Source organism: Homo sapiens, chromosome 10 (assembly GCF_000001405.40).
Source record: "Homo sapiens chromosome 10, GRCh38.p14 Primary Assembly".
NCBI classification, from domain to species: Eukaryota; Metazoa; Chordata; class Mammalia; order Primates; family Hominidae; genus Homo; species Homo sapiens.
In genome coordinates this window covers 13,950,800-13,972,919 of record NC_000010.11, presented here as the reverse complement: position 1 = coordinate 13,972,919, position 22,120 = coordinate 13,950,800, and the positions used below count along the sequence as shown (strand labels likewise).

At 45.0% G+C, this 22,120-nt stretch overlaps 1 protein-coding gene across 3 annotated transcripts in view, besides 1 other annotated feature; it reads left to right on the top strand.

The window, feature by feature from the left end:
• Positions 1 to 22,120, top strand: part of FRMD4A (FERM domain containing 4A) — a 687,219-nt gene that overhangs the window by 358,005 nt on the left and 307,094 nt on the right. The window contains exon 1 of one of the 3 annotated variants that reach the window (NM_001318337.2): positions 1,024 to 1,264. The exons of the other annotated variants lie outside the window; for them this stretch is intronic. Within the exon in view, the coding sequence (NP_001305266.1) occupies positions 1,121 to 1,264 (144 nt within the window). The 5' untranslated portion in view covers positions 1,024 to 1,120. Of the gene's footprint in view, positions 1 to 1,023; positions 1,265 to 22,120 lie in introns of those variants that run through there. 3 annotated transcript variants of the gene reach the window in all.
• Positions 676 to 1,647: an enhancer, noted in NCBI's record as "H3K27ac-H3K4me1 hESC enhancer chr10:14013273-14014244 (GRCh37/hg19 assembly coordinates)". NCBI's record gives its function as "activates a minimal SCP1, AML or CMV promoter by ChIP-STARR-seq in primed H9 embryonic stem cells {active_cell/tissue: H9 hESC(primed)}" and the evidence as "EXISTENCE:reporter gene assay evidence [ECO:0000049][PMID:30033119]".

The following is a 22,120-nucleotide window of genomic DNA, read 5'->3' as shown; positions in this document are numbered from 1 at the left end:
AAACAAATGGAATGTGGAGAAGGCAAACATGCCTTATGACTTACCATGATTTTTCAGGACTGTGCAATCAAAATGACATTAAAGATTAAACATGCTCTTTGTCTTAATTGTACAGCTAGGTCGTGGCTGCATTCTCCCCTCCCCCTTCTTTCCCTTCCAGCTTTGGAATCTCACCTTTTGGTATGTAATTTATTGAATTAGGATGCAGATGCCATTCTAAAATAATCAACAATCAAAACAACTTATGAAATTCCAATGGTTATGACACGTTTAATTGAAGGACTTTCCTTGAGTTAATTTCTACCTGTAGCTTACCCAACATGCATTAAAATAGCAAGACGGTTTATAGGAAGTAACCCCTCATGCGGGGCGAAAAAAAAAACGGGATAGGTTGACTTTACCTCCTTTTCCCTGCTTTCCTCCAAATCTTGGATGTTGATATGAAATCCATCAGATAAGTATTCTTTCCAGCCATTTCAATCCCAACCTAAACTTGGGACGCTTCCAAAGAAAATGCCTGGCTTCTTACAAATTGCCCACAGAAATAGCAATTTCTCCAGTGCTGCTACAGAATGGGACTTTTTGCTTGACCTTGTGGAAACTCATGGGTTCTCCAAGTTGTAAAGAGTTAAGAAAAGGGATGGAATGTCTGGGGAATGTTGCAGGGAAGGCTGCAGCTCTCTGCTCTTAGCTTTCTCACCCTGGAGGGGATCCCAACACTCGGTGGTGCTTCTGGGTCTGAGGTCTTCCCTAAGTTCTGTTTGATCTGCCAAAGAGCCAGCCTCAGTCCACTGAGAAACAGGGATGTGCCGTTATCTGCACACTGAGGTTTATTTTTACCTTGTCCCTGGTGAGTCCCCAGAGACAAGGAGAAAACACTTTGGGAGGGAGTTAAGAGCCTTTTGCTTATCCTTGAAGGAAAGCAGTCTCTGAGGATTAGTGAGGGTGGTGGTGAGGGTAGGTAGGGGGAGGAGAGTCAGAGGAATCAGAGTTATTTGGACTGCATTTTTTCCTTGCCTGATTAAATCTTACTGACATTGGCACTTTGTGTCACTAAAAGAACACAGCCCTGGATGTGGGGCCAGGGACCAGAGGGTTGGCGGCAGAGTCTGGGGCTGGCATGGCTGCTGGGCTGCTTGGCTCTGAGGACCCACCGTGGAGTTGGAACCTGACTTGTCGGGCGCTGAGGACCTGCCAAGTGAGGAACATTCGAGTTCTGCAGCTGCTGCTAAAACCATGGTGCATCTCCAGGGCCGTCTATCAGGTGGGACCAGAAGCTCCTCTTTCGTTTCTTTGAAGCATGGGAAAGTGGTGGTGAATGGTGGAGAAGGGGGCATGAGCTATTGTCACATGTGTTCGGGACTCTGAAGCATGTTACATTTAACAGGGAGCAGTTAACATGAACAGAGCCTCATCTTCTAGGTGCCATGCGTGCCATACGGTGCGCCACGTGAAGTGCACCGTAAACATGATTTAATTCAGCTTTCAAAGCCACCGGATCGAGGAAGTGCCTATGTCACCATCTTGATTATTATTGTCACCATTTTGAGATGAGGTTATTGAAACTCAGAGAAGGATGTAAGTTGTTCAAAGTCACCCAGACAGAGCCTGGTGATTTCAACCAAAGTTCTCCTGGCTGCAAAGACAAAGGATGTTCTTTCCACAAATCCACGCTCCTCTCACAATGGATGATTTATCAAACCGTGCGTGCATGCGGTGTGTGCATGTGTGCGTGCGTGTGCATGCATGTGTGTGCCTGTGAGTATGCATGCATGTGTGTGAGCGCGTGCGTGCGTGTGTGCATGTGTGCACGTGTGTGTGTGTGAGTGTACCTATGTGTGTGCACCTGTGTGTTGGGGGTGGTGACAAGCTGGTAAGGGGAATGTGGTGTGTGGGACAGGAGGCAAGGCGGGAAGATCCTCAGGCACCAACACTGAGCCTCCTTTCCTTTACATAGTGGCCTCTGAATTCAGACACACACCTCTCAACCCAAATATGAGAAAAGGAGAGAAACTTTCCTGAGGGAGAGTGGCACTTCTGAGTCAGTTAACTGGCGGTGGGTGCAGAGCACTTCAAAAAGGGGAGACAAGAGTGCTTTCTCCAGCTATCAGTCCAGTTTGGTGGCATTAAGCCACGTCCCTGCTGGCCGCGGAGACTTCAGTCCTGACAGCCCCAGCCCCGCCTGAGAGGACCCAGATTGCGTGGGGAGTGGGGGGCGCAGGCAGCATAGCAAGTGAAAGAATGTCCCTTGGCCTGGCTCTTGAAGGGGGGTGTCGCTCATTTTTCCTCCTCTCACGGGTGTTTGTAACCCAGTTTATTTCATTAAGTCGACTTGAGTGGTTTTGGCCCTCCCTCTGTAAGCTGGCTCATGACAATACTTGTAACCCAGCATGCACAGCTGGCCTTTGTATTTTTAGGTGTAATTTGGTGGTCTATAATTCCTTAATAAAACGCACTGGCTAAACCACCCGTCCCCTCGCTCCACCCCTCCTCCTGGAATGTCTGGACTTTCAGGGGAGGGAGGCGCCCTGGAAGATGTGCCCAAGGGTGTCGGGTTGATTTCACAGATGGGCACAGCCCCGCAGGACCCCTGCTCCTGCTTCTTCACCTGCCCCTGGGCAGGCGGGGGGTAGACCCTTTACATGGCTTCTGAAGACTTTTCTAGAATTCTCGTGCTTGAAGGGCACGTACCTAAAAGCTTCACTCTAAATATCAAGTGTGTCTGTCATAGATCATATATAAAAGAAACTTTTAGAGAAATCCTTCCAAATTTGACCAGCATCCGAAAAGTTCACATAAGATTTCCCATGACAAGCTGTGAATCTGAAAGAATCCTGGGGGAAAAAAAATCCCCCAGCTGGGAGATTCAAGCAGTAATGTGGCTGGTTTGTCCATTTGAAGCTTTTCTGAAACCGTGATTTAGAGTCAAAAGTCCCCAAGCTGGGTATGTGGGGGTAATTACTTAGTCAAGATGATTCTGTCTTTCCAGTGATTACAAATGAGTTTTGAAGCCCTGGCTTCTGGCCTCCACCTCTCACTTTCATTTCATCTCTTTCTTTTTTTGGTGGGGGAGGGAACAGGTTATTGCTCTGTCACCCAGGCTGCAGTGCAGTGGTGCAATCACGACTCATTGCAGCCTCAACCTCCCTGGGCTCAGATGATCCTCCCACCTCAGCCTCCCAAATAGCTGGGACCATGTCACCATGCTCAGCTATTTTTTAGAATTTTTTTGTAGAGATGGGGGTCTCACTACGTTGGCCAGGCTAGTCTTGAACTCCTGTCCTCAAGTGATCCTCCTGCCTCGGCCTCCCAAAGCGCTGGGATAACAGGTGTCGGCCACCACATCTGGCACTCTTTGTCTTTTAAATCAACTAAGCAGGGTGGGCTAGCCCCGCCTCAGGGGCCATTTTTTAGGATTTCCATTAATGTCGTAAGTATACTGTAGAGAGTGCTGAATGATTGGCCACCGGGCCTGGAAAAAGAATACATTCCTGCTCAAGCATGACTCAGTTCAACTCTGCAGACAGGTCCTCAGCAGCAGATAGGTGCCTGGCCCCATCATAGGCGTTTGGGGCTCAAAGGCTAACCACGCCTCGTGCTTGTCTGTGGTCTCTGGCCAAGCCAGGCCCTTGGGGGCAGATATGTCCAACCCAGGCAGCTGGGAGGTAATCCCCATGGGTGGGTCTGGAAGGCAGCCAGGATGGCAAGTCTAAACCAATTCACCAACCTGGGAGGCTCAGTGAACAAGGACTGGTTAGCAGCCTGCAGAGCCAGGCCGAGGGGCCTGGGAGAAGAAGAGGCGGCCCAGAGCAAGACCAGGCTGGGGTGGTCTGCAGGAGGTCCAAGATTACCAACCCATGGTCAGCATTTACCTTCCCCAGCCCTCCTTTCTACTGCCAACCAGGGCCGTTTTAAAGACATATCTGTAATAATACATGGGCCATTTTCCATTCTTCATAGTCTCACAGGAAAGAGCCAAGAACGCAAGAACTGCATTTCAACAAATAGAGGATTTGAGAAAAGTGCAGAGAGCAGCTACCTTTGCTCAAGAAAAACTTCACTCCCCCCTCAAAAAAAAAATCTGTTAGTCACTCCTAGCCTTTGCTTTCTCCATTACAGAATGGGAATGATAGCTTCATGCATTGTAGGGATTAAATAAGTGATGGAGCCAGGTGCAGTGGCTCACGCCTGTAATCCTAGCACTTTGGGAGGCCAAGGTGGGTGGATCACCTGAGGTCATGAGTTCAAGACCAGCCTGACCAACATGGAGAAACCCCATCTCTACTAAAAATACAAAAAATTAGCCGGGCATGGTGGCACATGCTTGTAATCCCAGGTACTCGGGAGGCTGAGGCGGGAGAATCGCTTGAACCCAGGAGGTGGAGGTTGCAGTGAGCTGAGATCGCACCATTGCGCTCCAGCCTGGGTGAGAAGAGTGAGACTACGTCTCAAAAAAATAAAATAAGCGATGGATGTGAAAGTGTGTCACAAAGACTAAGAAAGATACAAATGTGAAATGTTGTTTTTGTTGAAATATTGTATTTTAGCTGTCTTTGATCTTGGGAAAGACTCATCTTGAGTGTATTTATTTATTAGCGATTTTAAGCAGTACTTTTTTGTAGTTTGCGGTGTCTTCATTGGCTAAGGCGATGGCTGATGGCTCTGGATGAGTTCACCTAGGGAACTTTTTAAACACACCCATACTCAGTCCTGACTCCCAGCGGTTCTGATTTAGTTGATCCGGGGCTTAGGTGTTGGGATGGTCTAAAGGTTTTTGATACTAATGTGCAGTCCACCCGGAGCCACTGAACTGAAGGGGCCTCATTCTGCACATAGCAAAAGGCAGCATCAGGATCACTGGGGAGCCACTTTAAATATGTATAAAATGTCTTAAGCGCCCCCGCTGAAGTGCAGTGGTGTAATCATGGCTCACTGCAGCCCCGACCTCCTGGGCTCTGGGGATCCTCCACCTCAGCCTCCCAAGTAGTTGGGACCACAGGCATGCGCCACCACGCCCAGCTAATTTTTGTATTTTTTGTAGAGATGGGGTTTCGCCATGTCGTCCAGACTGGTCTCAAACTCCTGGGCTCACGCCATCTGCCTGCCCCATCCTCCCAGAGTGCTGGCATTATAGCTGTGAACCACTGCGCTCAGCCTACACAATCTGTATTCTTAACACGTGATTTCTGATATTAGCAGGAACTAATGACAGAGGACAAAAAGTTGTATGTGGCACCTGACAAATGAGGGTGTGGCAATGACTTGACAAGACGACCATGAGGACTGACTCAGATCATTCAAATTAAGCCCATGGCTTGGCACATCCGAGGCAACCAATCCATGTTAGCTGCTTTTTGTTTTTGTTTTTGTTTTTTTAAAATTTCTTATTTCCATAGGTTATTGGGGAACAGGTGGTGTTAGTTACATGAGTAAGTTCTGCACCGGTGGTTTGTGAGATTTTGTTGCACCTATCACCCAAGCAGTATACACTGCACCCAATTTGTAGTCTTTTATCCTTCACCTACTTCCCACCCTTTCCCCGAGTCCCCAAAGTCCATTGTGTCATTCTTTTTTTTTTTCTTTGAGACGGAGTCTCGCTCTGTCGCCCAGGCTGGAGTGCAGTGGCGCGATCTCAGCTCACCGCAAGCTCCGCCTCCCGGGTTCACGCCATTCCCCTGCCTCAGCCTCCCCAGCAGCTGGGACTACAGGCGCCCGCCACCAAGCCTGGCTAATTTTTTTGTATTTTTAGTAGAGACAGGGTTTCACCGTGTTAGCCAGGATGGTCTCAATTTCCTGACCTCGTGATCTGCCCGCCTCGGCCTCCGAAGTGCTGGGATTACAGGCGTGAGCCACCGCGCCCGGCCCGTTGTGTCATTCTTACGCCTGTGCATCCTCATAGCTTAGCTCCCACTTGTGAGTGAGAATATACAGTGTTTGGTTTTCCATTCCAGAGTTACTTCACTTAGAATAATAGTCTCCAATCTCATCCAGATCGCTGAGAATGCCATTAATTCATTCCTTTTTATGGCTAAGCAATATTCCATCCTATGTATATACCACAATCTCTTTATCCACTCATTGATTGATGGGCATTTGGGTTGGTTCCGCATTTTTGCAATTGCAAATTGTGCTGCTATAAACATGCGTGTGCAAGTGTATTTTTCATATAATGACTTCTGTTTTTATTATCACGAGAAAGAATGTGATCACTCCAGGTCACACCCAGAGGCAGGATGTGGCTGTGATGTGCCACTCAGCACAGCAGTCCCCTTCTCTAAACAGCACTCGGCCCCAGCCCTGGAGGGAAACTTCTGTCCCACCCGGGTTTCCATCTCACTCCCAGAACCATGGCTGTGTGTGAGTGGCAGCCCCCTGCACATCTCCAGTCTCTTCTCAACGGGGACTTTTGTTTTTCCAAGTGCCTTTTACATATGACTTCTTTATCACGTTACCCTCCCAAACCAGGGTTAATGGCAGGGCCTGCGGCTTCTATTAGGTTAGTGCAAAAGTAATTGCGGGTTTGCCATTACTTTTAATTACAGCAAAAACCGCCATTGCTTTTGCACCAACTTAATATAATTGGGGGTGGGGGAGACTTAAAAGGAAAATCATTAAAAATTATACAAACTTACACTTTGGGAGGCCAAGACAGGCAGATCACCTGAGGTCAGGAGTTCGAGACCAGCTTGGCCAACATGGTGAAACCCTGTCTCTACTAAAAATACAAAAAAAATTAGCCAGGTACGATGGCGGGCACCTGTAATCCCAGCTACTGAGGAGGCTGAGGCAGGAGAATCGCTTGAACCCGGGAGGTCGGGAGTTCGAGAGGTCGCAGTGAGCCAAGATGGCACCACTGCACTCCAATCTGGGCAACAAGAGTGAAACTCTGTCTCAAAAAAAAAAGTTATACAAACTTACATGTGAAAGGAAAAATCACAAGTTACAAATGTAGGAAAGCCAACAACTATTAGAAACATCACAAAATTCAGAAAAGGAATGTGTGTTTATTAATTAACCTGCCAACATCCCTATTATCCTCTTCTTCCTACCTATTTTGGTTGCCTGGTCTTTGATCTCTTCTTCACAAGATAATGATTTTATAACATTTTCTACAGAGAGAGAAGAGAAAGCTAAGTCTGTCTTTCGCATGGTATGGCTGATCAAAACTTGTCCTTTCATTACTGAAAGAAAGAAAGGTTTATTTCCAATTCATAACTTGTCATTGGAAATACTGTGCAGATTTTTAGAATTATTGAAGAATTTGGGAAGACTTCTTACAGGTTTCTTTTTTATATGATCTATTGCAGAACATGCTGTTGAGAGTAAGATTACAGATATGTGCCTTCTAAACACAGGGATTGCAGGAAAATCCAATTATATTCTAGTTCCTTCAATAAAGAAAACATTATATGGTGCTTTTGTAATTGTGTGTCCTATATATGAAATATACTCCTGACAGTGGGAACACTGCCACCTGTGTCCAGGAGGTATGAGAATGGAACTCTCTACTTATTATCTTATCAGTCTGAGGATTGGGAGATTCCTCCACAGATGGGTTTCTGGCTGTTGGCATTTTAAACCTTCTTTCTCTTCTGCTAGCCACATACCTTCACAGCCTGGTGCCATAAGATGCAGCCATATCTTGATAAGATCTCTAGTCCTTCATGAACAAGGTGGGCGAGTCGGCATTTAAGGGTGAGGGTTCTTGCTGGAAGCCATTTCTAGGCTGGTGCAGCTCACCGTAACTTGATTACAGATGGCAATGTCTGTGGACCTCAAATATATTCCTCTCTCCCAAACTGAATATATCCTGACCATTCTTCTCCTTAGCTGAATTCAAAAAAAAAAAAAAAATGCCCAGTGGTCATTCCAATGTTACCTGAGCAAAAGAGGAAATTTAACAGAGGGGAAATCAACATAGGAAGAGGCATTAGTTGGCCAGGCGCAGTGGCTCACGCCTGTAATCCCAGCACTTTGGGAGGCAGAGGCGGGCAGGTCATGAGGTCAAGAGATCGAGACCATCCTGGCCAACATGGTGAAACCCCATCTCTACTAAAAATACAAAAATCAGCTGGCTGTGATGGGCACCTGTAGGCCCAGCTACCCAGGAGGCTGAGGCAGGAGAATCGCTTGAACCCAGGAGGTGGAGGTTGCAGGGAGGCAGAGGTTGCAGTGAGCTGAGATCGCGCCATTGCACTCCAGCCTGGTGACAGAGCGAAACTCTGTCTCAAAAAAAAAAAAAAAACAAAAGAAGAGGCATTAGTTGTAACTGATGACAATTAAAATATCTCACTTTTGTAAGCAATGAATGCATGAATATCTTGCTAGGAATCATCCCAGAGACTTGGAAGATCCCATGAAGTGAGGAACCCTGAAGTTTAAGCTTCATTGGTTTCATGACAAATCGACCTCTGTCCTCTCTATTGCCTCCCCACCCACCCCCACCCTGCCTCCAGCTCCACGCCACTCCTGGCTGTGCAGTAAAACTATAGGAAAAATAAAATAAATAAGACCAACAATCTGAATTACTGACTTACCATAAATTGCTTCTGGCCCCAAAGTTGTAAAACACATATGTATGGCATATGTAAACCTGTTTTAAATTTTTCTTTTTAAGTTAGATGTTGTTCGTTTGTTAGTGGGGAGGGGGATTGTGTTTGGTTTGGTTTTTGTTTGTTTGTTTGTTTGATGTTTTTTGTTTTGGTTTTCTTTGGTCTATTTGTAGAAACCGCGTCCGTCATCAGAGTCATCAGAGTTGTGGACTTTGTTTCTGTTTTTTTTTTTTTTCTAATGCCTGTTGACAAAGCACCAACAAGATAACACACCTGGTCCTCTCCTCTCTGGTTCTGGGTTGGCTGTGTTGAGGGTCACAGGGCACATCCCACCTTCCTCCAAGCATGAATGCCCTTGAATGTTTCATGGTTTTATAATGATCAGTGGTTCACCCATCACTGCTGCTTCTAGAAAGGAAATATGGACCAGTGGCTAGAATGAACATCCATGTGTTAGGAATTTGAGGAGAGTCCTTTTCCTAACCTGCAAAGCAGTCCTAACCTAATGCTCTAACACTGGCTGTCTGGAGACCACAGAGCCAGGCCTGCAATGACCTATAGATACTGAATTTCTCACACACTCTATAAGAAAACATGTGAGCTAATATATAAGAACACCTACCAACCTAGAATAGGGTTTGTAATTACGTAGAACGCTTTGTGTGTTTTCTTCTTTATAGAAAATATGCTTTTGAAACAGAACTTCTAGAATAATCATTTTGAAAATGCATCTCTATCAGCTGTCCACATGATTAGTTATAGTGACATCAATGATCCATTCTCCTAATAAAGGACAATTCCTCTAAAATGAGATTGGGTTTTCAATGATTCGTTTTTATCTTCACAAACAGCTCATACAACCAGTCTTGGACTGATGGATTCTACCATGACCCAACCAAACGTTTCCACATGTGGAAAGTTGGGCTTTGATTCTCAATTTGCTATTTTTGCTGTTCCCCTTTCATCATTTCGTTATGGCAATGTATGTTTTAAAGAGCGATGCCCTGCATATTATTTAGTGCCTACATATGGTGTGGGCTTGGCCTTTTCTCTGATTATCTACAACATATGTGGTTGAAAAAAAAAAAAAAAAAAAAAGAGGCTTGCACCAAGGAAGAACAATTAGTAAATTCATTAAATTTCTCTGTCAAGTCTGCACATTTGTTTGTTTTAGTTTTTTTCAGGCATTCATTAAGGCTGTAGGTGCCTGTCAGTAAAGGAAGATGTGTTTGCATTTCTACTGGTGTGCTTCCATTTCACTCACCCTGTCGTTTGCAACAGTACTTTCTTAAATTGACACGGAAACATATTTTTGCAATAGGATGGAAAGCAAAACTCTCACTTCTTACATTTTCAAATTGTTCTTCCTTGATGTGGACAGTATTTGCAAACAACCTAACAGCTCAATTTTTACTTTGTTCATGAAATATTCTTGAATCTGACATGACATAAGGGATATTTTCATTCTCCTTGAAAGCACTTTTCTTTGTTTCAGTGAGTAAATAATACTTTGTTTGGAGGTTTACAATTAGCTGCCAGTTTTTGCATCAGCCACCAGTAATTTGGGTTCTGTCTCTCCCGCCATATGCTAATCTACCACCAAAGCACTGTGGGAATCAACTGAGAATTTGAGCTTTTGATCAAGAGCCAACTACCTTTGAACACTGAGGGCTTCTAAAGGTCTACTTAGATGGAGCTCAGGAATAGTAATCCCACTGGAAGGAGAACAGCCAGGGTTTTACTTAATTTGTATTTGTTTGGGAGTCTCTTGTGGTGGAGCTGGTGGAGATGATCAGGAATCGAATTGCTCTGCTATTCCCTTGAAAAAATGCATATTTCACTAAATAGAGAGTCTATTTTCTTACCATTCTCAAAAGGTTCTAGTCTTCACAAACGCTTGCCTTTTCAAAATTTCATCATGTAAGAGACAAGTTTTGACACTAAAAAAACCATATATATGCATATCTTTTTGAAATGTTCAGAGTATATTTCCAAATGCATTTTATTATTTTTGATTCTCAATACCCCTGGGGGGCAAGTACTGTCATCTTCATTTTTATAAATAATGGTATCATAACGAGGCTCAGAGAAGTTAGTGGCTGGTCTCCTCTGGGGAGAGATCTCAACAGCCACACTTTAGACATTTGTTCTGGGGCAATGATCAGCTACAGAAGAAATGGTGTATTCGGAGTAGTCTCTTTCAATAAAGTCATTTGGAAGAAGATGGCTAGTAGCAGCTGTGGAAGCCAAGTGGCTAAATTCCTCCGCTTCTCCATTAATTAAATGAAGATTCATTCATTCATTCATTCATTCATTCATTCATTCATTCGTGTGTTTTTGTTCATTTATCTAACAAATAACTAATGAACACCCTCTATGTACCAGACATTGAGCAAAGTTCTGGAGGTAGAATGGTAAATTCATTCATTCATTCATTCATGTCTTTGTTCATTCATCTAACAAATAATTAATGAACACCCTCTATGTGCTAGACATTGAGCTAAGTCCTGGAGATGAAATGGTAAACAAAAAAAATATGATTCCATATTCTTATAAAGGTGGAAATCTAACATCATTTACTCAGCAGCATTAATATAATGATTAGACAAATTCAAGTCAAATTAAAATTGGAGGTCAATGCTTTGAGGACAAGGCACCTGGTAACCTAAGAGGGACCTTGCCTTTTCTGTGATGTTGAAGAAAGCTACTTGAGGAGGCACTATTTGGTCAGAGGTCTTAAAGATAAGTAGGAATTAACTAGGCTGAGGTGGTGGGAGGTGAATGGGCAGAAGTCACATTTGGTATCAAACCAAAGTTGCTATGGCAGATGGGAGGACAAGAGCTCTGAACCATCAGGTGGCCTTATTTAATAAGCATCGTGTGTTTAAAATCATTTACAATGATGTTGCCTATACAGCTTGGCCACTGGCCCTCTCTACTAAGCACTGTCATACCCACCACTGGCCCTTTTGAAAACCAGCTGGCCTATTTTGGAAGCCTCACCGCCCAGCCTCAGATGGAAATTTTCTTCATTCTCAAGGGTATGAGCTCATCACCACACCAGATGGGTTTCCAGTGAATGATTGTCCTGCAGTCTGATTATTTTCATGTCGTGTTAACTCCCTTTGAAAAATGGAAAGAGGATATGGGGTTGTCTTTCTCATCTTTGTAAGTTGGCGGAGAATTTCCTAGTTGTGGCCACATCCTCTACAGATTGAGAGAGAGCATACCGTTTGGAAGGAGAGATAAATTCTGGCTAAGGGTCCACTTACAGTCATGTTTTAACTGTGCTCAATCCATTTTTATTATAGGGGTCATCAATTAAGGTAACTTTAGCTTCTGCAGTGGATAACTTGGAAATTTCAGTGATTTAACACAAGAGAAATCTATTTCTAACTCATAAAAAGTTAAACATGCTCTGGTAGGTACACAGCCTTCCATAGGATCATTCGATGTCATCTTGTGACTCTGCCCTGCCCTCCTCTGGGTTCAGTGTCCCCTTCACTTAAAAAAAAGGAGGGCAGAGAATGGAAGAGCTCTGGTGAGAGATTTTTATGGGTCAGACCAAGAAGTGGGGCTCCTCTTCTTCTCATTGGCCAGAACTTGGTCACATGACCACACACCCAACTACCACACAGACTGGGAAGTGCAGGTAGGTGGGCTGCCGGTCAACCCATCCCAGACAGTCAGCTTAGCATGGCGTTAGGAGCATGTGCCCTGAAGTCCATGAATTATATATAAGTCCTTACTCCAAGAGGGTAAGTCTGAGGACAAATCGCTTCCCCTTCGGAGTCCAAATCCTCTCATCTATAAAATGGCAATAGCCTTATTTGCCACATAGTGTTATCCTCAGGAATGAATGAGACTATATATATAAAGTACTTAGACCAAACCTGAGAAATAGTACATGTCCAATCAATGTTCAGTCACAGTTATCAATTTACTCCCTGGCTACAAAATCAAAGCAAATCTCGAGATGCCTGAGCTTTCTGTGTCACCTGAGAAATGATGAATAGAGAACAATATTCCTTAACGTCTCAAAAAATTAAAGCGTCTGTTTCCAAAATAAGTGTACGATTGTTACTATTATCATAACTGTGGTGAGTTTCCTTTCAGTTTCCAGGGGAAATTCAATGAAGGCTTTTGACAAACAATTTTGTCAGGAAACAAGCTGCCGCCAAAGATTCCAGGCAGGCAATTGTTGGTGTCTTGGGTAGCAGGTACTTCCTGGGGCTCACAGCAGAGTGAAGTTCACAGAGATAGTGGTTCCTAGAAATCTAAACAGCCCTGTATTCTCTCTTCCCTCTGATCCCGGATCCAAAGGCGGGGGCTGCCCCTCCTACACCATGAGGCTTTGTTTATGCTTCCCAAGGCAAGCATTTTGTGATTTGCCTGTTCTGGGGCAGCCACGGTGCCTTTTCCACGGCATCTACTGGTCTGGGCCAAATAACCTGCGGTTCGTGTTCTCTCTTGGCCAAATAGAGAGCACGAGGATGCCCCCAAGCATTTTCAGAGCGAGGGGAAGTGCCTGTTGATACTCAGCCCTGGGGGGCAAATTGCAGCTGACCCCGTGTTGCAGGGCTCTGATCCAGGAATGGCAGTAGAAGGGCAGCAAGTGCCAGCTCTCACAGTGCTCCCGGGTAGAAACTGAGCACATGCATGAGCTTGGAGTGGCCTCATTTTCACGACTGTGTTATATCTGGTTTGCCTCCCAAGCTCATGAAGCGGGTAAACCCATGAAACAACGAGCTCAGCTGTCATGACACAACCTGGCCATTGTCTAAAACACCCTCCTCTAAAAGGTCTTTGAAGAATAATGAACCTGTCACCTGATGATTACAAATCTAAAAAAAAAAATCACTCACAGCTTTTTTTTTTTTTTTTTTTTTTTTTTTTATGAAACAGTCTTGCTCTGTCACCCGGAGGGGAGTGCAGTGGCACAATCTCAGCTCACTGCAACCTCTGCCTCCCGGGTTCAAACAATTCTTCTCTCTCAGCCTCCCAAGTAGCTGGGGCCAAAGGCACGCGCCACCACGCCTGGCTAATTTTTATATTTTTAGTAGAGATAGGGTTTCACCATATTGGTCAGGCTGGTCTCAAACTCCTGACCTCATGATCTGCCTGCCTTGGCCTCCCAAAGTGCTGAGATTACAAGGTGTGACCCTCCGCACCTAGCCCACTCACAGCTTTTGAATATGGATAGACATTCTCTGATGATCATTGTTGCAGGGAGAGGGGACTTTTACTGAGAAGGGATTCTCATACTTGCAAGTGCCCATTGCTGAGAATCCCAGCCAAGGCTGTCCAATAAAATTCCCATATTTAAGCCATTTCATAGAATAAAATACTCAGAGTGCTGGGGAAAATTGTTAACTTAGTCCAATGTAATCCCTTCTCTTCCATCAAGACTACATCTCAACCATCCAAAGAAACTAGATTGGTTATAATTGTCTAGACTGGTTATAATTGTAAAAAGCAGAATAGCCTGGGCACGGTGGCTCGTGCCTGTAATCCCAGCACTTTGGGAGGCCGAGGCAGGTGGATCACCTGAGGTCAGGAATTCGAGACCAGCCTGACCAACATGGAGAAACCCTATCTCTACTAAAAATATAAAATTAGCCAGGCGTGGGGGTGCATGCCTGTAATCCCAGCTCCTCGGGAGGCTGAGGCAGGAGAATCGCTTAAACCTGGGAGGCGGAGGTTGCCGTGAGCCGAGATCATGCCATTGCACTCCAGCCTGGGCAAGAAGAGCGGGGAAAAAAAAAAAGAAAGAAAGAAAGACACTGGTCGGGTGCGGTGGCTCACGCCTGTAATCCCAGCAGTTTGGGAGGCCGAGGCGGGCGGATCACAAGGTCAAGAGATCAAGACCATCCTGGCTAACACGGTGAAACCCCGTCTCTACTAAAAATACAAAAAATTAGCCAGGCATGGTGGCGGGCACCTGTGGTCCCAGCTACTCAGGAGGCTGAGGCAGGAGAATGGCGTGAACCCGGGAGGCGGAGCTTGCAGTGAGCCGAGATCGCGCCACTGCACTCCAGCCTGGGCGACGAGCGAGACTCCGTCTCCAAAAAAAAAAAAAAAAAAAACAATGGTCATGGCTGTTGTTCACGCGACTGTTTTACATTCCAATCACGCAATCTTTAATGAGTTAGAAGCCAGTTGGTGTGCTGATAACGAGAAAGAAACACAAAAGGATAGGAGACAGTCTTTGCTGCACCTTTCAGAATAGCTAGGTAAATCACTCGCCTAAGTAGGAAAGAGATAACTAGCAATGTACTGCAGTAGCGTATGGGGCCAGGTGAGAAATCCCGACAAGAAATACCACTGGATTTCAGAGGAAGAAGCAAGCTGTGCCGAGAGCAGGATCTAGGGAGGAAGTTGAAGAACAGGCAGGGTTTACATAGGCTCTTAGAGAGGGGAGGGTTTTCAAAAAAAGAAAAAAGGCAAGCAAAGGGAAAGGTGTGGGGAAAGAGCGGTGGGTTCCTAGTCGCCGTATGTAATCAACTTTGTAAGTGGCTTACAGTACAGAGAGAAAGAAAAGGAGTGAGTGAGCGAGTTTTAGGGGCCAGAAAGATACAAGGACACAATAAAGAATAAATGGAATGGAAAACTGAAAATGCAAAAAGGGCTAGCCATTTGTTCAACCCAATGAATTCACATTGCTCGCAGAAATAACACCAAAGATTCCCAGTTGCCAGCTAGATTCTAAATCTTGAGACACTGTGCTTTCTCTAGCGAAGGAGGATTTTTACTCTTCCTCCTTTTTCTCTGGACTCTGTTTATGATAAAGTGCTAATCAAAAAGGAGGGGTATGGCTGAGCGTGGTGGCTCACGTCTATAATCCCAGCACTTTGGGAGGCTGAGGCGGGTGGATCACCTAAGGTCAGAAGTTTGAGACCAGCCTGGTCAACATGGTGAAACCCTGTCTCTACTAAAAATACAAAAAATTAGCCGGGCATGGTGGTGCATGCCTGTAGTCCCAGCTAGACGGGAGGCTGAGGCAAGAGACTTGTTTGAACCCGGGAGGCAGAGATTGCAGTAAGCCCAGATTGCACCACTGCACTCCAGTCTGGGCAGCAAGAGCGAAACTCTGTCTCACAAAAAACAAAAAGGAAGGGTTAGATGCAGAAACATAAACACTGGCACACTGTAACCTCCCTAAGGTCTCTGCCTGTTTGTTGAAAGTTTCAGCTTCAAGGCCGGCTTTGCCTTTCCACACATAGCTCTGCGGAGTCGGAGCCATCCACTAGAAGGCGGGCTGATCTTGTTCTTCATAAACTGTTTGGGTTTCCCCGTGGTTCAGAGCCACTGACGCCTTTCACGACTTTCTAAGCCAATTATTTAGCAAGAATGTTCTGGACAAGCAGACACCCAGTTCTCAGGCCTTGAGAAAGTGCCCAGTGTGGGGGCTGGAGGGAGGATCAGAACAAATGTGGAACTTATTGTGAATCTCAGTTTTCAAAAATGCTCAACGTCTACACTTTCCCCCTTCCCAGGATTTTGCTAAGGGCCAACACCAGGGAGTAGCCCATTTGTTTTGTTTTGTCATCCAACCTCTTGCTGTTTTATGAAATCTTAATGCTGCTGGAAAATTCAAGTCGATTCATTTGAATCTTAGTACTCACTGCTTAATTGTCTAGTAAACTAACAGTTTTCTCTGCCGCTCAGAAAAATACACAGCCATACATCCACAATTATTTTCTTTTCCCTTTGCTAGAAATTTTAGATTAGCATCATGGCGTACACAAGATGAGCCTTGGTGACTTCAGTGTCAGACTGACACAGGTCCATACTCCAACTCCACCATTTACCCGTGCATGGACTTGGCAAGCAACTTTGTTGTCCTGAGCCTCAGTTTTGTCTTCTGTTAAACGGGGTCAAAATCAGTTTCTTCTAGAGATAAAGAACCTACATAAGGCTGGACATAGTGGCTCATGCCTGTAATCCCAGCACTTTGGGAGGCCAAGGCAGGCTGATCACTTGAGGTCAGGAGTTCAAGACCAGCCTGGCCCACATGGCGAAACCCCATCTCTACTAAAAGTACAAAATTAGCCGGGTGTGGTGGCTCATGCCTGCAGTCCCAGCTACCCAGGAGGCGGAGGCACGAGAATCACTTCAACCTGGGAGGCAGAGTTTGCAGTGAGCCAAGAGTGTGCCACTGCACTCCAGCCTGGGTGACAGAGTGAGACTCTGTCTAAAAAAACAAAAGAAAAAAAGAAAAAAAAGAATTCTACCTAAATCACTTAGCACACTGTATAGCACAAACAAGGTGCTCCGTAAATGGTAGTATTTCATTATTAGTATTTTACTCAGTATTGAAGTACTCCTGGGAATCTGCCTTTCTAGGAAGATCCCTTTGCAACAACTGTAGAGATGAATTTGAAAGGGTGTAAAATAAAAGCCACCTGGGTGTTTTTCACATGCATAACCGATTTCAAGCCAAGAATGGGAGAAACTGGAAAATACCGGAATATTCCTCATACATACTGCTTTATGTATTCTAATAATGTCTTTCCCTTTCTCTCAGCATTGACTACTCACAGCCCCACCTTCCTTTTCATTGTGCTTTTCTGGAAGGCTGGTTATCTCCACATATGGAACACAGTTTCTCTTTAGGGCCTTTAATACGCTAGAAATTCCAAAACAAAGTAGACCCCGGCAGGGCACTGGCTCCACGTTGGCAAATAAGCTTGCCATCAGGCGCCACTTCTGGTATTACAATGTGTTTTTCATTAAGGAGGGAACTGTAGCCCCAGACTTCAAGGGTTGGTTTCTAGCCATATGCAAAGGCCTGAGGACTAGTACTGCAGCTCATCTGCAGAAAAGAAATGCCCAGGGCCAGAGGGAATCTCCTCCACCCTGCTGTATTGGTAGTCCATGTAGCCACCAGATACTTCAGTGACTTGGATTAGGAGTACGATGGATCACCCATCATCAAATGGCATTTAAGAGCAGAATTAGGCCAAGCATAGTGGCTAACACCTGTAATCCCAACACTTTGGAAGGCTGAGGCAGGGAGAACACTTTAGGTCAGGAGTTCGAGACCAGCCTGGCCAACATGGCGAAACCCCGTCTCCACTAAAAATACAAAAATTAGCTGGACGTGGTGGTGAGCGCCTGTAGTCCCAGCTACTCTGGAGGCTGAGGTGCAAGAATCGCTTGAACCCGGAAGGCAGAGGCTACAGTGAGCTGAGATTGAGCCACTGCACTCCAGCCTGGGTGACAGAGTGATACTCCGTCTCAAAAAAAAAAAAAGCAGAATTATTAACATGGGGTTGGAAGAGTTGGAAGACTACCTTACCATAGACAATTGAATATGAGGTATGCTTTGTTAGTAGTCTGTGACATTTGAAAAACTGGCCCTAAGAAAGAAAATTGTGTCCATGGCTAAAAGAATTGAAGTGAATGGCTTTTATTAGAAGAAAATCCATATTGCTTTTAAAGATAATGTGCCGATAATTTCTAGCCCACTTACAATCTAATGCATCGCAAGTTAAAAGTGTAACATGAGAGAGGGGTTTGAGAGAAGACCCTGCACCAAACACCAGCACTCTGAAAGGGTTTGGTACGGGGTTTTGAACCCAAGCCAGTGGATCTGAGATGAACTGCAGGTGCTGCCTTGGCAGGGCTGTGATGATGACCCCAATAACTCACACAGGCTGCCAGCCACAGAGCATAGGGCACTGCTGCCATGCATGGATGGTGACACCAGGGTCTGCAGGGCCCTGATGGTGCTGGAAGGGGAATTTCTCCTCTCAATTCCCCTTCCCATGACTTGAGCCCCTGGAGCCACTGATTGGATTTGGCTGTGTCCCCACCCAAATCTCATCTTGAATTGTAGCTCCCACAATTCCCATGTGTCATGAGAGAGACCCGGTGGGAGGTTATTGAATCATGGGGGCGGATCTTTCCCGTGCTGTTCTCATGATAGTGGATAAGTTTCAGGAGATCTGATGGTTTTGTAAACGTGTGAGTTCCCCCGCACACGCTCTCTCTTGCCTGCTGCCATGTAAGACATGCCTTTTGCCTTCCACCATGATTGTGAGGCCTCCCCAGCCATGTGAAACCGTGAGTCCATTAAACCACTTTTTCTTTATAAATTACTCAGTCTCAGGTGTGTCTTTATCAGCAGTGTGAGAACAGACTAATATAGCCACCGAGTGCAATAGGAAACTGATTAGAAAGAGGGACTCTCCTTTTGTTTATTTCTTTACCAACACAACCCAACCTGCGGAGAAGCAGCAAAGGCTAAATGGAGCAGTGAACACTGTGCAGGCTTTGGTCTGTTTCTGCCCTGATGTCCTAGCACAGGGCTGGATCCTGGTTTTTGCTTGTGATTTGTTTTTGTAGAGAAGGGATAAGTACCGGCTGCTGCCCTATGGTGATTCTTTGTAAAGTGAGCTTCCAGTATGATGATGATGATGCTGAGTTCTTAAACTTTAAAAAAGGTAAAAATAATTGATACTGCAAGAGTTATGACAATATGCAGTTGTCTACCCTTATCCTTGAGGGGGTCCCTTCCAAGAGCCTCAGTGGGTGCCTGAAACCTCGAATAGTACCAAACCCTATATACACTATATATACATTACTTTGGATAAAGTTTCATTTATAAATTAGGCATAGTAAGAGATTAACCACTATAACTAATAAATTCAACAATTCTAACAATATGCCAGATTCGTTGCTCTTGTGCTTGAGGCTATTAAGTAAAATAAGAGTGACTTGAATATAAGTACTATGACCTCAAGACAGTCGATCTGGGAACCAAGATGGCTACTAGGTGACTAGTGGGTGAGTAATGTGGACAGCAGGAGCTAGACAAAGGGAGGGTCCATGTCCCAGGCGGGATGGAGTGGGAAGGTGTGAGATATCTTCACACTATTCAGAATGACATGCAATTTAAAACTTATGAATTCTTATTTCTGGAATTTCCCATTGACCATCTTTGGACTTCGGTTGACCCATGGTTAACTAAAGCCTTGGAAAGCAAAACTCTAGATAATGGGGGACTATGGTATGTAGTTATCACTTTCTTGGGGGCATCGTGCCATAGCTCCCTTTAGAATAAAAAGGGAAATGTAGATGTTATGGGAAAATGTTCACAAGCTAAGGGTAGATGAGAACAAAAACAGGACACAAAATTGTTCCTGCAAAGCAACCTGAGTTTCACAAGGGGAAGAGCATCTATATGGAAGAGCCTGGGAGGAAAACGGCATTATCATAAAAGCAGGGGCCTTTGAGTACTTCCCATATGGGCTACAGGTTCTGGAGATAATTTAGTCCTCACATCAGCTGGTGTAAGGTAATAGCTATGACCACCATCCTCATCCTACAGAAGAGAACTACTGAGCGTTAAAGTTTACATAATTTGGGCCGGGCAGGGTGGCTCACACCTGTAATCCCAGCATGTTAGGAGGCTGAGGCGGGTGGATCATCTGAGGTCAGGAGTTTATAGACCAGTCTGGACAACATGGCGAAACCCCTTCTCTACTAAAAATACGAAAAAAAATTAGCCGACATGGTGGTGGGCACCATGGTCCCAGCTACTCGGGAGGCTGAGGCAGGAGAATCACTTGAACCTGGAAGGCAGAGGCTGCAGTGAGCTGAGATCATGCTACTGCACTCCAGCCTGGTTGACAGAGTGAGACTCCATCTCAAAAAATAAAAAATTAAAATTAAAAAATAAAGTTTACATAATTTGCAACTACCTCTCAGTAAGAAGAGACAGAGCCAGATTTGAACCATCATGCTTCTAGAATTTCTGCTCTTTGACATATAGCAGTTATTTTGGGGTAGGAATTACAGGTACATTTTAAATTCCTTTCACTTTTTGGTGTCTTCTTTTTTTGTTGTTGTTTTCTTTTTTAGAGACAGGGTCTCGCTCTGTCACCTGGGCTGGAATGTAGTGGTGCCATCTTAGCTCACTGCAGCCTCCAACTCCTGGGCTCAAGTGATCCTCCATCCTCAGCCTCCCAAGCAACTGGGACTACAGGTGTGTGCCACCACACCTGGCTCCTTTTTAAAAATTTTTTTGTAGAGATAGGGTCTTGCTGTGTATCCCAAGCTAATCTTGAACTCCTGGCCTCAAACAGTTGTCCTGCCTCAGCCTCCCCAAGTGCTGAGATTACAGACATGAGCCACCACGCCCAGGCAGCCACTCCATTTAAAAAATAATAATAATAAAAATAAAAAGCATATATTACTTGAAAAATCAGAAAAAAGAGTATAAAAAGAAAAAAAAACATACATCATGGGGAAAGTCATACTTCCTTCATCTTGGAGATTTTAAATTAAACTGGATTTAATTGGCTCTGAAACAAGCCCCTTCCCAATGTAAGATGAATATCTTAAAGAACTTCTTAAGAACTCCAAAACTTGAAAAAGCAAAGAGAACAGATATTTGCCCCAACCACTTCTCTGTAAAATTTTAGATTGTTTATTATTATTATTATTATTATTATTATTATTATTATTATTTGAGACAGAGTCTCACTCTGTAGCCCAGGCTGCAGTGCAGTGATGCAGTCTCAGCTCACTGCAAACTCTGACTCCTGGGTTCAAGGGATTCTCCTGCCTCAGCCGCCCAAGTAGCTGGGATTCCAGGCGCCCGCCACCACGCCTGGCTAATTTTTGTATTTTTAGTAGAGACGGGGTTTCACCATGTTGGCCAGGCTCGTCTTGAACTACTGACCTCAGGTGATTCACCCACCTCAGCCTCCCAAAGGGCAGGGATTACAGGCATGAGCCACCACGCCCAGCCAAAATTTTAGATTGTGATACCTGATCACCTTAACATTTGTCCTGTCGATCAGCACAACTCCCCGAAATGTGGCTGGTTGGATCCCTTCATCTGTACTCTCCAGCCCTTCTACTCCACCTCTTTCAGCAGCTTTCTCTTTCAACTTTCCCCACTTCTTTCATCTTCAATATCTCCCTCTGTAGTTTTCCTTTGAGTCTGCATTCAAACTTAGATCTTCCCATCAATCTTAGAAAATACGTTCTCTCAAGCCTGCTACGATCCCAAGATGGCGCACTACCTCTCTCCTTCCTTCCCTACTAGCCATCAGGTGCAACTCACTCTTCCTGGCGCCCCGCATCCTCACCAACCACTCCATATGCCCTCATAACCTTGACCTCTGCTCCTGCTGTCCCTCCTTCCCCGAAGGATCACCAATGGCCATTCGGTTGTCACACCCACTGCCATTTCCCCATCTGCCTCAATGTTTCTGTAGCTCCTTCTGTGGAAGCACCCAGCACCCTTGGCTTCTCTCTCCCGGCCCTAGCCTGCCCTTCTTCCTCCTTCTCTGAGCCTTCTCATTGCTAGTTTCTCTTGCTCCTCATCCCACCTAAATGAATAAACCCAAAGAGGAATTCTCAGTCTTGTCCTTTTCTCTCTCTCTACTCCCTTCGAATCTCAGTATTTTTTGAGCAGCATTATGTTCTTGTCTTAGCTTATCTGTGACTCTCAAATATAAGGGAAGCTTCCATTCTCCATGGCAAGAGAGAAGATAAGTAAACAAATAAGCAGGATAAGGTCATCGGGGAGGACTTCCTGACATGATGACATC